The sequence below is a fragment of the Homo sapiens genome, chromosome 12 (assembly GCF_000001405.40).
Source record: "Homo sapiens chromosome 12, GRCh38.p14 Primary Assembly".
Classification (NCBI taxonomy): domain Eukaryota; kingdom Metazoa; phylum Chordata; class Mammalia; order Primates; family Hominidae; genus Homo; species Homo sapiens.
Window position 1 is genome coordinate 101,624,444 of NC_000012.12, and position 15,464 is coordinate 101,639,907.

General features: G+C 38.4%; 1 protein-coding gene across 31 annotated transcripts in view, besides 1 other annotated feature; it reads left to right on the top strand.

Annotated features, from left to right (window-relative positions):
• The window catches only part of MYBPC1 (myosin binding protein C1), a 100,871-nt gene that overhangs the window by 29,473 nt on the left and 55,934 nt on the right, over window positions 1-15,464 (top strand). For 12 of the 31 annotated variants that reach the window (XM_006719411.4, XM_006719409.4, XM_017019317.2 and 9 more), the window contains 5 exons: window positions 4,991-5,101; window positions 7,128-7,276; window positions 7,578-7,695; window positions 10,111-10,162; window positions 12,229-12,285. In XM_006719411.4, the coding sequence (XP_006719474.1) occupies window positions 4,991-5,101; window positions 7,128-7,276; window positions 7,578-7,695; window positions 10,111-10,162; window positions 12,229-12,285 (487 nt within the window). Of the gene's footprint in view, window positions 1-2,428; window positions 2,468-3,325; window positions 3,362-4,990; window positions 5,102-7,127; window positions 7,277-7,577; window positions 7,696-10,110; window positions 10,163-12,228; window positions 12,286-15,464 lie in introns of all 31 variants that reach the window. The other 19 variants (XM_017019316.2, XM_006719406.5, XM_006719410.5 and 16 more) reach the window with 4 other exon arrangements.
• Window positions 10,529-10,618: a silencer, noted in NCBI's record as "silent region_4768". NCBI's record gives its function as "represses an Ori minimal core promoter by ATAC-STARR-seq in GM12878 lymphoblastoid cells {active_cell/tissue: GM12878}" and the evidence as "EXISTENCE:reporter gene assay evidence [ECO:0000049][PMID:35858748]".

The following is a 15,464-nucleotide window of genomic DNA, read 5'->3' on the forward strand; positions in this document are numbered from 1 at the left end:
GTCATATACATTTACATTTTGAAATCCACAGTTATTCTAGTTTGCTTTTGTTTTTGTTTTTAGAGTCAGGGTCTTGCTGTGTCATCCACGCTAGAGTACAGTGGCGTGATGATGGCTCACTACAGCCTCCAATTCCTGGACTCAAGTAACTCTCTAGCCTCAGCCTCCCAAGTGGTTAAGACTACAGCACACACTACCAAGTGCTCAGTGTGCAAATAATATACAAGCCCGGCTAATTAATTTTTTTTTTTTTTTTTTTTTTTTTTACGGAGAGAGTCTTGTTATGTTGCCCAGGCAAATTCACAAATATTCTAGTATTTTAAGTACGAAGATTTTATTATTCATAAAAACACTAGTTTATGCTTTGGGAAGAGCAGAGCAGAGGTTCAGATAACAACAAATGCTCTTTAAGGATGTAAAATATGAACTTTGTTCACAGACCTCAGTGATGTGAGCACTGTTGCTTAGGAGTAACAAGTTGCTAAAATGCAGAAGGGATGGGTAGTGTTTCTTGCTTCTCATGATGAATGTTTCTGTATGTTAGTGACTTGCTGGGTAACTAGTAAGGTACTAAATTGATAAATGTGTACAGGGTCCTTTGCAATAAAACTGGTTATGACTTGATCCAGGTGTTTAAAAATCGGGGCTGTTAAGTCTGACCATACATCACTGTGATAGAATGTGGGCTTTTTCAAGGATGAAGACACAAGTCTTAACCACACTGTAACTTATAGTTCCCTTAAAAAAAAAATAAATAAATAAACCTGGCAGCTATAGAATATACCAGGTGCATTCATAATAGCTGTTTTATGTATTGGAGTGTTAACATTTTTAAATTAAATGTTTTACATTCACAAGTGATGGGGAGTCTTATCATTAAGGTGTGTGTAATTTAGAGTTCAGTTGGTTTTATTCTAACTGGACTGCACTTGTTTTCATAGTGGTGAAATGCTATGCGCATTTATACCTTGCGTAAGTCCTCATTCTACCACACGATAAATAACCCGCTGGCTGATAATATAAACACTAACTGGAGAGATTTTATTTATAAGGGCTCTAGAATAAAATACAAGTTTTTCACACCAGCATCATCTGTTACTAATACTCTTAATTAGTTAGTGCAGCTTTTCATTTTGTTGTGGTTGGTCTCCTGACTAGGTTGAGTTTTCCTCCTCTGCTAACAGGAAACAATACCGACGTTCTTTTTCTTATAGCATTTGTATTATAAAAAGCACAAAGCTCCAGCCCACTGAACCTCTGCCAATTAAGATGGTGTTGGGTTAGGCTGCATCTGGTTACTGTCCTGGGAAAATCACTTTAATAGAGATGGTCTTCCAAGCAGTTTTAAAATTTATCCTTCTGCCAGGCGCGGTGGCTCACGCCTGTAATCCCAGCACTTTGGGAGGCCGAGGCGGGTGGATCACAAGGTCGAGAGATCGAGACCACCCTGGCCAACATGGTGAAACCCCGTCTCTACCAAAAATGCAAAAAAAAATTAGCCAGGCATGGTGGCAGGTGCCTGTAATCCCAGCTACTTGGGAGGCTGAGGCAGGAGAATCGCTTGAACCCGGGAGGCGGAGGTTGCGGTGAGCCAAGATCACGCCATTGCACTCCAGCCTGGGCAAAAAGAGTGAAACTCTGTCTCAAAAAAAAAAAAAAAAAAAAAAAATTTATCCTTCTACTGAAGTTTTTAGGTCAATTAGGTAGGCTGACTAAATTTACAAATGAACTTGTTTATCCAAAACAAATAAATAAAATGTGAACTTTGAAGTTCAGATGTTTTTTAAAAGGGAAATATTCTGCACATAAACACTAAAAGACATATTTTGAATTTCACAAATACATATGGGTAAATATTCAGAAATGATACAGCATTTTCCAACACCAATATAATGTTGGAAAAAATGCTTATAAAGTTTATATTAACTTATCTTGACTTTTGTTTCTTAAATACTGAGAGCAATTAATCATGAGGTTTTCTGGGTAGAAATGAGTTCTCAGATAGTACATATATAGGCTTTTATGTCTGTGTCCAAACGAATGTGATATATGAATAAGGTCTGCCATTCACTTTAGTTACAAAATCAGGACTTGAAAACCACTTCCATTATTGATTTCATCAAGGTTTGATTTTTAGCATTCATTTTTTCCTAACCTACAGTCACATAAAAAATTTGCAGTGTTCCATTTTTAAATCTGTGCTTCCATTTGGATTACCCTACTCTGTCAACTTTTTATTTATTATTTTTTCTTTCTTTGCCTGAAAAACTCAGGTTTCACTTTTCAGGTACCAAGTTTTCTAAGGCTTGCTCAGCAGTTGAAAGTGTATTGTGTGGTTTCTCATCTTCTTTTTCAGATTTCTCTTTTCTCAGGTTACTTGGGATGAAGTCTTTTCTCCTTGACTTTTTACTCCTATTTCTTGTTTCAGATGAAGAGGAAGTCTCCCCGCCTAGCGCCTTGCCTCCAGGTTGGGATAATTTCTACCCTTTTCCCTGCTTTTAAATATATTATTCATTGACGGTAGAGGAAAAGAAAAGGCAGTGAGCCTCCTTGCTGAGTCAGTGCACAGAGCAGGGGCAACAGTTTTCGCCTGTGCTGGCACCAAGAAGGAAATGTTGGCTTTAATGACAATTTTTTGTTTTACGTGAGAAACTTCTTAGAAAGAGGCATTCTTTGAGAAATAAATAAGATTGGTAAATCTTGGGTATAAATGTTAGGGGTCAACATATCTGTCTTCCATTTCTCACTATATATCCACCCTTTTCCCTGTTCTTTAAATTTAGATATTTGGATTTTAAAATTTTTCTTTTCTTTTTTGAGACTGAGTCTCTCTCTATTGCCCAGGCTGGAGTGCAGTGGTGCTATCTCGGCTCACTGCAACCTGTGCCTCCCAGGTTCAAGTGATTCTCGTGCCTCAGCCTCCTGAGTAGCTGGGATTACAGGTGTGTGCCACCAAGCTGGGCTAATTTTTGTATTTTTAGTAGAGACGGAGTTTCACCATGTTGGCCAGACTGGTCTCGAACACCTGACCTCAAGTGATCCACCCACTTTGGCCTCCCAAAGTGCTGGGATTACAGGCATGAACCACCGCCCCCAGCTGGGATTTTTTAATTTTTCTATCATTTTAAAATAAGACACACACTTTTATAGATGCTTTCATACTTGGAGCTCTACTGATTTTCCATCCAAGCCAACTTGTAGGGTTTTTTCCTTCCTATCACCAGAGGAGACAGGGTTTAGGGGAATCCAAGAAGGTTGAAGTCAGCACTCCATTTTCATCCCCTTTCCACCCCTCTGCATCACCCAAATCACACTTTCCTTTCAGGTTTGGGTAGTCGGGCCCTGGAGAGAAAAGATTCAGGTGAGCGCAAGCCCAGAGAAGGCATCCTGACCTCATCCTAATACAATCACTAATGAGCTCATTTCTTGAAGCTGTATTGATTCTAATCCTTGTCTTATTCAGATTGTAGTTTTTACGGCAATCTTTCATTACGTTTCCTCTTACAAGAAAACTAATGTATTGAGAAACAATTAATTTTGCATGATACACACGCATTCAAGGATCTAGCCAAAAATACCACAGGTTTGTTCTATCATTTTTAATATTTAGCAAATACACAGAGATCAATCTTCATTTTGGGGATGTACTAAAGTTAGATAATAATTCACATTTTTATAGAACTTTACATACAGATAATAAAACATTTTCAAATGCATCCTATCAGCTGTAGCTCCTGTTCTGTGAAGTCATTCATTCATTCATTCATTCGACAAATTTGTACTGAGGACCTAATATGATCCTATTATGGGCCTCTTATGGGCCAGCCACTCCTATAGGCACTGCAGGTATAGAAGTGAACAAAACAAGAGAAACACTTATCCTCATGTTCTAAATGTGCTCCTATTAATATCATAAACACAAACAACAAAATTTTAACATTAGCTTGGGTGTTTAAAAATATGTAATCACATGACTATGATTGTCACATAATTGTGAAAATGTTTAACCTCATTGTGAAAATGATGGCCTACTACTACAGATAGAAATATCAAGCATGATTGATACATGAAAACTAAAATAATTAAATGTGCATTTTCCTTCTTTTCAAGAAACATCAACAAGCAGAGAGTTGGCAACCTATGCATTTTTTTCCAGTTACTAAATGGCTGAACCTGAACTCTGCATTCGGCTCAGAGACAGGGGAAATATCTACAGTTCTCTCTACTATCCTAGAATTGGAATTGACTGCAGATTAACACTTATCACCAGAGTGCAAATGAGAAGATGCAAAAGAAACTCTATTTCCAGCTTGTCTCTCTTTATGGGAAAGCCTCAGTTTTTTTCTTTCCAGTTCTCTGTTTCGTTTTGCTTTTCCCCCTTGCAGCACAATCTCAGTATCCTTGTAATTTGTACCACAGGTCATGATCTGTTACTTCCTTGTCAAACTATGGCCACATCTGTACAACCCTAATAAAACTCTCTTACAAAAGCAAGGAATCTAGAAATACCAGGCCAGGCTTGGCTTTCTGACCCTTGTCAGACAGTTTACCCTCCAAATGACCTATCCGTTTAGTCTTTTTCAATGTAGTTGTATCGATGTGGCCTTATAGTCCATCACCTAGAAAAACACCAAGAGTACTGCTTGAATACACTGGCCACCATTGTTTACCTGTTAGGGGACAGGCAAGATGGGGAAGCAAAGGAATTATTGCCATCAAAGAGAGAATAACAGCTTACCTGGAAAGTTCCACTATTTCTAAGAATTACATAATGTTCATTTGCCCCATCATGGAAGAGATACCCCTGTAAGAATGGGAATCTGTTCCCCTCTACTGATGGCTGCTGGGGGCAGAAAGAATGATGTTGTATTTATCTAGGTTTATTAGACAAAGAAAAGCTACAGCGTTGGTGAGAACAACAAATCCAGGTAAGACTGCCTAAGAAGAGCCTGGCCCTGAAATAATCCTTTTCCTCCTTTCTGCTCATCAGACTGGACCCTTGTCGAAACTCCTCCTGGGGAGGAACAAGCCAAGCAGAATGCCAACTCCCAGCTGTCCATCTTGTTCATTGAAAAACCTCAAGGAGGAACAGTGAAAGTTGGTGAGTGCCTAGCATTCAATCCTTCCTTTTTTAAAAAATTAAGGTGAGCCGAGCACGGTGCCTCACGCCTGTAATCCCAGCACTCTGGGAGGTCCAGACAGGCAGATCATTTGAGCTCAGGAGTTCGAGACCAGCCTGGCCAACATGGTGAAACCCAGTCCCTACTAAAAATACAAAAATTAGCAGGGCATGGTGGCAGACACCTGTAATCTCAGCTACTCAGGAGGCAGAGGCAGGAGAATCGCTTGAACCCACGAGGCGGAGGTTGCAGTGAACCGAGATCGCGCCACTGCATTCCAGGTTGGGCAACAGAGCAAGCCTCTGTCTCCAAAAAAAAAAAAATTTTGAGGTGAAATTCACTTATAACATTAACCATTTTAAAGTGAACAATTCAGTGGCTATTAGTACGTTCGCAATGTTGTACAGCCACTACTTCTATCTATTTCTAAAACATTTTCATCACCCCAAAAAGACCCTATATTCCACTAAGCAGTTACTACTCATTGACCTCTCCTCCTAGGCCCTGGCAACCATTAATCTGCTTTGTCTCTCTGGATTTACCTATTTTGGATATTTCATATTAATGGGATCAGACAATGCAGGACCTTTTGTGTCTGGCTTCTTTCACTTAGCATAATGTTTCCAAAGTTCATCCACATTGTTGCATGTATCAGAACTTCATTCCTTTTTACGGCTGGATAATATTCCACTGTGTGTATACACTAAATCCTGCTTTTTACAACCTGAAAAGATGAGTGACAGCTATGATTTCAGTAACCTTCAGCACATAGGAGTCCAGTGCCTGGACCCTGGAACCTTGGGTTCTGATCTTGATTCTGCTTCCTGCTAGCTATTACCCTTGGAAAGACAGTTTAACTTCTTTATGCCTCAGTTTCCCCATCTGTAAAATGGTGACAAGAATAGGACCTAGCTGTGAAGTATTTTGAACAGTGCCTGACACACCATAATGCTGAGCCAGTGTCTGCTGACATTACCATAACTCACTCCATAAGATGATTCCAAATCTACACATGCGCTAGGTCATAATTCATAATATCTGAGACAGCTGATTGGGCAAATGGTTCAACTCTTCAAATATTCAAATTCAAAAATATTGATTATATACCTCCTGTTTTAGGCACTGAGTATAACATGTGAGCACTCAGAATTTATAGTCTGAGAGGAGCAGAGAAAAAAATAAACAAATAATCACAAATGCCAAGTGCTATGAAGGGATGGTGAGCTGGAGGAGGACCTGAGGGTTGAAGAATTTTAACCAAATAAATCTTTATAAGGGATATATTATGATCTGAACTAGTCTTTGACACTTATCAATATTATGCAAATGAGTACATAGCCAACTGTATTCCAGAATTACTTCTTTCCAGGCTAGAATGTCAAAATACACTGCATGTGAACAGAAATGTTGGTTCCCCTTATGTTCCTGTACGACATTGAAATGCTGGGCTGGAAGCTGGACTACAATGTCACGTCCTCAGGGTCTAAATCACTCAATACAAACAGATTGCAGGTTTACTTCAAGCAGATCAGTTTGATTTAGTCACATTCCTATAATTCCAGGCTTCTCATCACCTTGCCTAATAAAAAGAGTGAAAAAAATTCAATTTTTTCATTTTTATTTCATACATATCCATATATATGAAATAAAATTTTATACATATCCATATATGCAATAAAAGTTCACATATATCATACATATCCATATATGTCCATATATATGAAATAAAAAATTACCCAAATGTAAAATTATCCATATATAAAAATTACTTCCACTGGTTTCCCTATTACTTTTTCTGCTTCATAAACCCCCACAGCAGAACAAGCTGGGACAGCCTAAGGACCTCTAGAGCATTCATAAAAAAATCAGGACGAATTCATTTCACAATTCCGAGGGCACCAATCACACCATATTCTGTAGTGCAGTCCCATGTCAACTCCTTCCAGTTGAAAGCAAAACAAATGACGCTTGTTAAAGAGCAAGCTGAATCCCTTATGCTTCTTCTAGGTGAAGATATCACCTTCATAGCCAAAGTCAAGGCTGAAGATCTTCTGAGAAAACCCACTATCAAATGGTTCAAAGGAAAATGGATGGACCTGGCCAGCAAAGCCGGGAAGCACCTTCAGCTGAAGGAAACCTTTGAGAGGCACAGTCGGGTAAGGCCCTGAACTCCCAGGACAGGCGCTCAGCTAGCGCATTCCTTCTATGTGAATAAATGATTATTTTCAGGTTCAGCTTTGAGAGACTTCAGTTCCAGAAAATCCTCTGAAGTTACCATTGCAGTGTCTACACTCTATTGCGATTGCCCGGCTGTGTCCGGGGGCTACAGGACACATTTGCCCTCCTATAGTGAGAACATTGTACTGGAATTCCCACAGACAGACACAGCTTTAAGCCAATGCTGAGAAATTTGGAAAATAAACTGAAATGTGTGTGTCTGGATGCATTTCATTGCAGGTGTACACATTTGAGATGCAGATCATCAAGGCCAAAGATAACTTTGCAGGAAATTACAGATGCGAGGTCACCTATAAGGATAAGTTTGACAGCTGTTCATTTGATCTTGAAGTGCACGGTAAGAGAGCCTTCTTGCCTAGATAAATGTAATTTTTTAATGGGGTGTGAGGGGATGGAGAAGAAGTAGTTCATTTAATACTATGAGATTTCAGAGAAAGTTTTCCTTTAAAACTGTTTCTGATTGTGGTAGTCTCAGCAAGCTTGCTGAATTGAATTGTAATGAAATAATTTATAATAAAAGTAGAATTGGGGGGATTTTATCGCTAAATATCTCTTGTCCATGCTATCTATATTCTTTCAATCTCCCAGATAAAAGATGATGTCAGTTTTTGCTGCTACAGAATGTATGTTTCAAGGGGTCCACTTTCCCACTTAGGTTTGGGGATAGGGTAATATGCTATGAGAGTTCAGGATACCCAGATGGAAGGGAGAATTTCTCTTATAACGACTAATGTCAGGCATGGCAGTTCTTCATCCATATGTTCTGTGCACTACCCAGAGTAAACATAGAAGGCCTAAATGCATACGATGAGGTTGGAAAAAAACTCGCTTTTACAAGTATACAAAGGAAAAGTTGACTTGGCAGCAAATATTATAAACTTAAGGTGAATGTAAAGTGTGATGTAGTTGCAAAAGACAAAAAAGTGAATGTAATTTTATTTTATTTGAGACAGAGTCTCACTCTGTTGCCCAGGCTAGAATCTAGTGGCACTGTCTTGGTTCACCACAACTTCCAACTCCTGGGTTCAAGCAGTTCTCATGCCTCAGCCTCCCAAATAGCTGGGATTACAGGCGTGTGCCACCACACCTGGCTAATTTTGCTGGGGTATTTTTAGAAGAGACGGGATTTCGCCATATTAGCCAGCCTAGTCTCAAACTCCAGGCCTCAAGTGATCCACCTGCCTTGGCCTCCCAAAGGGCTGGGATTACAGGTGTGAGCCACTGTGCCCGGCCATGAATGTAATTTTAAACTGGGCTATTCCAAGTGCTATAGGATCTAAGTTTAGGAAGTGATACTTCTCTCTACAACATGCTACTTATTCTACATTTGGAGTGATGTCTTTAGCCGTGGTCACTATACCTCTGCCTGGACCTCTTCTCGAGTAGAGTAACCAGGAAGATGAAGAATCCAAAAACCACACCCTATCCAGCTTGAGTGTGTGGGTGAAGGAAGTCAGGCATACATGGCTTGTTGCAAAGAGGGGAAGGGGCTGTCACACAGAAAATGGAAAACAAATTTCCATGCATGAGAAGCATTTAGGCAGTTTAGAATCAAAAGGTGGAAATGATGAGGAGGTGAATTTTGTCTTAACGTTAGGATGAGCTGGCCAGGCACGGTGGTTCACGCCTGTAACCCTAGCACTTTGGGAGGCCGGGGCGGGCAGATCACGAGGACAGCAGTCCGAGACCAGCCTGGCCAACATGGTGAAACCCCGTCTCTACTAGAAATACAAAAATTAGCCAGGCGTGGTGGTGGGCACCTATAATCCCAGCTGCTTGGGAGGCTGAGGCAGGAGAATCGCTTGAACCGGGGAGGCGGAGGTTGCAGTGAGACAAGACCGCGCCATTGCACTCCAGCCTGGGCAACAGAGTGAGACTCCGTCTCAACAAAAAAAAAAAAGGACGAGCTCTTCGGTTAAAGCTATATAGACAGCCCAGGAAGGTTGTGAGAGTCCCACTGAGAGTGATGTCAAGCAGAGGCTGGATGGCCATGGGTCGGGTGCTGTCGATATTTCTGTATTAGGTGGGATCTGGGATCCTGGGCAGCACTGCTTCAACCTGGCTGGGCATCTCTGAGAAGATCACCTGGAGGGCTTTTTTTTTTTTTTTAGACGGAGTCTCGCTCCTCTCTGTCACCCAGGCTGGAGTGCAGTGGCGCGATCTCGGCTCACTGCGAGCTCCGCCTCCCGGGTTCACGCCATTCTCCTGCCTCAGCCTCCCGAGTAGCTGGGACTACAGGCGCCCGCCACCACGGCCGGCTAATTTTGTTCTTGTATTTTTAGTAGAGACGGGGTTTCACCGTGTTAGCCAGGCTGGTCGCGATCTCCTGATCTCGTGATCCGCCCGCCTCGGCCTCCCAAAGTGCTGGGATTACAGGCGTGAGCCACCGCGCCCGGCCCCTGGAGGGCTATTTAAGAATATTGATTTCTGGGTGCCCCTCCCTGATCTGGTGGATCAACATCTTTGGCAGAGAGGATCAAGAAACTGATATATTTCTAAGTCCCTCAGTGATTCTAGTGGGCAGACAAGTTGAATGACACCTGAACAAGGTGACCCCAAGGTCCCTTCATTGGTTCTTCATGAGGGAGGAGGAGGTATGATGAGGCCTTGGCAGCACAGCCATTCAGGAGAAAAGCCTCCCCCCTTCACCTGACATTCTTCCATCTAAAGAATCCCCACAGCCTATAAAGGAACTGAACACAAACTACCTCCTTAATGGGTATTTATGTTATTGTTTTCTTTCCTTTCAAAGAATCTACTGGGACTACTCCAAACATTGACATCAGATCTGCTTTCAAGAGAAGGTAACTCCAAAAGAAAAATCTAGATAGCTTTTGTATAACACAGAAGTGGAGGATTTTCAAACACATTTCCTTTCCCCTGTATTCCGTATTCCAAATACGAACAACACTTTTCACCGCAAAAACACCATATATTTAAACATTGGTGTTCTAGAAAAACCATGGGTTTAAGGCCCAGTCAAGCATATACTGACCATTTTTTAGAATGTTCTTGTTATAAAGAAGTTCCTGTTTTGGAGGTTTCACAGTTGCCTTAGAAAGACACTTTCAATTTATTCATATGTAGCTTCCTCCTTAAAGCATTACTTTCCACCAAATGGCCAAAAGAAATACGCAAAGAGACTCATTTCATTGGTTAAGTCACGGCAGAAAACTTTTATTTATATTGCCTTTCATCTAGAAATCACTCAGGGAGCTACTGAACCATGTGCCCAAGAAAACCACAACCAAGTAGCTACTTACTGAAGTTAGTGCCATATAATATTGGATTATCCTAAATGAAACTGGCATTAAGAATACTACAGAAAGGCAAAATTTAGATACCTATTTCATATATTTTTGCAATTACCAAGGCTGAAAAATGGAGGGGGGGCGGTCAAGGAAGAAATGTAAAAGATTTTTGGTCTCTGAGAAATATAACCAGCCCCTTCCTGTCATTATGTTATTCTCTGTACTTAATTATTCCATAATATAAATTCTTTAATGAGACCAAATGTTTTGTTCTTCCGAAGACTGAATCCACATACAGAATCCACATACAGTTTTGCTGAATAAGGAAAGTCACTCCAAACTATTATAAAACAATAATTTAGCCTGTTAATGAGGCATATTTTCCTCTGATATTATAAATAAATCAAAACTTTAATTACTTTGAAAAGTTATTTAATATTACTGGTATTAGGTATTTTTTAATTTTAAAAAATGTCATAACTTTCAAATTTTATTACTTTCCTTCCACTTTCCCTTCATCCCATGCTCAGCAAATGCACAGGTCTAAAACTATGCTCATACTGTATACAAGTATATCTTAGGAGAGGGAAACATGATCTACTAAGTTTTGAGCTTTAAAAGAACAGAAATGTATTTACTTCAAAAGGCCTGCAAACACCTGAAGAAATTTTGAAAACACATTACTGAGTTTAATTCTTATGACTTACATGTTATACACACTGTTTTTAAACCCACAGACTCTTTTCTTAGAAACCATAACTAACATTTGTAAAGAGCAGGAAACAAAACTTCCTTAAAAAATTAAACATGTAAGTAACTATGTAGTGCCATTTAAATGTTAGCTCTGTAGCTTCTGGTTAGAGTTTATATGAAATCACAGTGGTGGCTGCATGCCTAATTTAAGATGCATTTCTCTACAAGAAAGCACTTTTTTAAACTGCTAGTAAAAGTTTCATTAACAATTCAAGACAAATTTTTTTAAAACATATTTAAGAAGGTATAAATATTAATAAGAAAATTAGAATAATTATCACCCTTTAAGACAGAAAGGAATGCATCTTTTAAAAATTTCTGTGTTAGCTCCTTTTTTATTTTTGCCATGTTAGTATCACATTATCTGATTCATCTGTTCATGGACACAAAGAGGTTACCATTGAATATAAGGCTTTGTACTTATATATCTGACATTGGTACACTTCGTCCTCCAAGCCAATCTCTGTCTTACATGAATAACAGAGATCAGCAAAAGTTCTTTGCTTTTTACATAGGTATGTTTCTACAGCCCCCAACTTGCAAAAACAAAGTACTTTGTGTTGCTTGGCTTAAGTGCATTTGTGTTACCTGGTTTTAACACAAATCCAAGCAGTTTTATATATGCAATCTACAAAAATGTGTCTTCTGAAATCATAGCGTAACACAAGCTCCTCATATGTTTACTTTTCCACAAGTACATACTCCAAAAACTTAACATGTCACTTGTGTGAAAAGAAATAGTTTGTGTTGATTTAGTCCTTGTGTGGCACAAAATTGCATATACGTTACATGTAGAGTGTTTGGGGGAAATTGTTGTGTATGTCTCTGCATTAAACCCAGATTTGCTTTTCTTTTGTTAACGACAGTGGAGAAGGTCAAGAGGATGCAGGAGAACTTGACTTTAGTGGTCTCCTGAAACGTAGGTGAGAACAAAGTGATGGAGTGAGACATTGTGGCCTGGAAGTCTTTCAGACACCCACTCAGAGAAGTCAAGTTTAAAGTGGATGTTCTTCAGAGAATTTTTCATTTCTGAAAATGTGTTTTGCTTATAGAATATAACAGAGTTGACTAGAAAGAGAGAAACAACTGCATACTAATCTTTTAAAGCCTTTAACAGTTGCTTTTAAACTTTCTTTTTAAATGTTTCATGACTCTTCACCTATTTTTTTTTAAATGGGGACGAAGAGATATGAAAACTGAGACATAAGACAAATACCTAGAAACCTCTAAGACTGCACATATGATTTGGTAGAAGTCTGAAGGTATACACATTGTAAGAGGCAGACCTACTTTAATGTATTATTTATGATGTACTGTATTTCTGCAAGTCTAAGACACCACTGCTATTAAGATACACCAGCACTTTATAAATCACTAAGCAATGAAAAAATTGTTCCAAATGGTTTGACACACCATTGATTATAAGATGCATTGTCATTTCAGAGGTCTTTAAAATGCCTCAAAAATGTGTTTTAGAAGTGACAAAATGGAAATAAAAGTTTAGTATCATCACACACTGACACTTTTCATTGTTCTCTCCTGCAATAAAATTTATAGGATTTCATTATGGATACTTAGAACATAACCATTTTATAAGATTTCTCTCCATATATATTTCTATAACTGCTATACTCTTCACTAGGATTCCCTATATATATACTATATTATATGCCTGTTATAGATATCTAGATATTTACTATAGTGCAGAAGCAACAAAAAGAAACACTTTTTTTCTGAGATTATGTTTTATCTAGCAAATTTGTAAATAAACAGAGTAAAACTATAATTTTAAATTAATTGTATATAATATCAGTTTTCATTTAACTTTCCAGGCTTTTAAAATTACTTTTAGTGCTTTCTATGGTTATTAAAAGACTACAAGTACAAATATGCTTCATAACAAATTACAAACACTTGAAATATACTGGGATTGTGTTTATTCTCTGTTTAGTTAGATAGCTGTATTGAAGTCTCTGTAAATGAAAAATTTACCCCTATCCCTCAACATGTAGGTTGAGAACAGAAATATTAATGGGTGTGATTTATTAATTCCTGAGGGCTATTAGCCCATCAATAGACTACTTCAAATAACCATTAGTCTCAATAGTATTGATTAATTCCCCAAATGCATTTAAAGCAATAGTATATGAAGTGCCCTTAAGTGAGCCTCACGTTTCCTCATTCTACAGATAAGAAACCAAGGTACAGAGACAACAAGTGACTTATCCCAAGTCACACAGGAGTTAGAGGCAGGGCCAGGACCCAAACCCAAGTTTCCCTTTTATGAGTCAGCTCATTTCCTGTGACTCCATATTAAAGATACCACTCTGAATTTGCCTTGGAAGCTGGCGCTTCAGTTTATAACACAAATTGACACTTTAGGAAGACAAGAGAGCTTTGTATTCTCCCTGCAATCATTTACTCAGTCAGGAAAATACTAAACACTGTCTTTGCGTAGAATATAATGCTACTGATGTGAGGAAAAGAAATCCAGTGCCTGGCACATAGAAAAGGATAGATACACTTTTGTGGGAGGAAAAATAGTGGTAAAAACATGGACTGGAGTCTCAGCTCTACCATTTACTAATTATGTGACTTTGGTCAAATATTTGACCCCTCTGAGACTTGGATTTCACATCTGGAAATGTGAAGAATAAACACTACTTAATAGAATTATTGTGCAAATTAAATTAAGTGTAAAAAGCTTGGTTCACAGTAGGTGGCAAATAAATATGTACTTCCTCTAAGGAAATGTGTCATTTTCTCTAACATAGTTTATATTCATAAGGAGACAACACACAAACACATACACAATCAATCAACAAAAATGTGATACAGTAGATTATTAAGCACCTTGCTCTGATTAAAAAGGAAAAAAAGAAAGAAAAAAGAACAGACTTTTTCAACCAGTAATTCCAGAATAAAATAAATCTAATTACATAGTCAAAATGACAAAATTTAAAAATCACTTAATGGGCAGCCAACATGTCTCCAGTTCTCATTTTCTTTTATCCCCTGCTTAAGATTTGCATTCATAATTAGATTGTTGTTAATATAAGGCTATGTTATGTTCATTTAGTATACTATACTAATCCACTAATATAACTTTAGAAATCATTGTGTTTTCCTACTAGTGAGTTGCATGCGTTTTCATTGCGGTAATGACATATGGTTACCATTTCTACTCCTCCAAGTGTGTGTGCCAAAATCCCCACAAGAAAAAAAAATATGATTAAAACCAACATCTCTGTACAACGAAAGATCTTCCTGCTCTGAACAAAGCCAGCTTACTTCAAATAGACATTAGCTAAATCAGATTAAATCTTTTGGGCAGCATCCTGTTATAGGAATTGACCTGTATAAATACTTGTAAGTTGTACTCTACATAAAATTTCTATAACTGTTATACTCTTCACTAGGATCACCAAGTTATTGAAATTTTGATGTAGATGAAAATACAGTGAGTATTATACAGGTCTATCCCGAGGCTTGGAAAAGAATCAGAAGTGCCTACAGAAATTTGGCTTTTTCTCCTCACTGTAACTTAACATAGCCATGCAGACAGGGTCATGTGCAGCCACCATGGTAAGTAACTAAAGATATGTTCCAGGTGCATTAAGGAAATGCTGGAGGTGAGAGCCTTGACCTCACATTTCAGTACAAGATAGATGCTTCTCTTTACGATTTGAGATACAATTAAGTAATGGAGAGAAAAGGAAGGAATAGGCAAGAGGTCATTGGTGTTCTTATATGAAATTTGATATGACTAAGTATGTGATAAGAGTGGAGAGTATCTTGGCATTTTAATGAAAACTGGTGAGGATGATTGGTTTTATAAATCTACCAACAAAACTGACTCAGGAAATCACACTCAAAATTATCATCTTTATTACTGGTTTCCTTCATATAAATATTCACCTCATGGATCTATGTAGGACTCAGTGACTTGTGCCTCTTGTTAGCTATTTTAATTATATCTAGCTTGATAGCTTTAAATCCTCCGCCAATGTCAGGAGGATAGCTGAAATATGTAATGTATGTGTGCAATTCTTCATGGTTCAAATACAAATTTAACATAATCCAGTATGGCATAATTTTATAG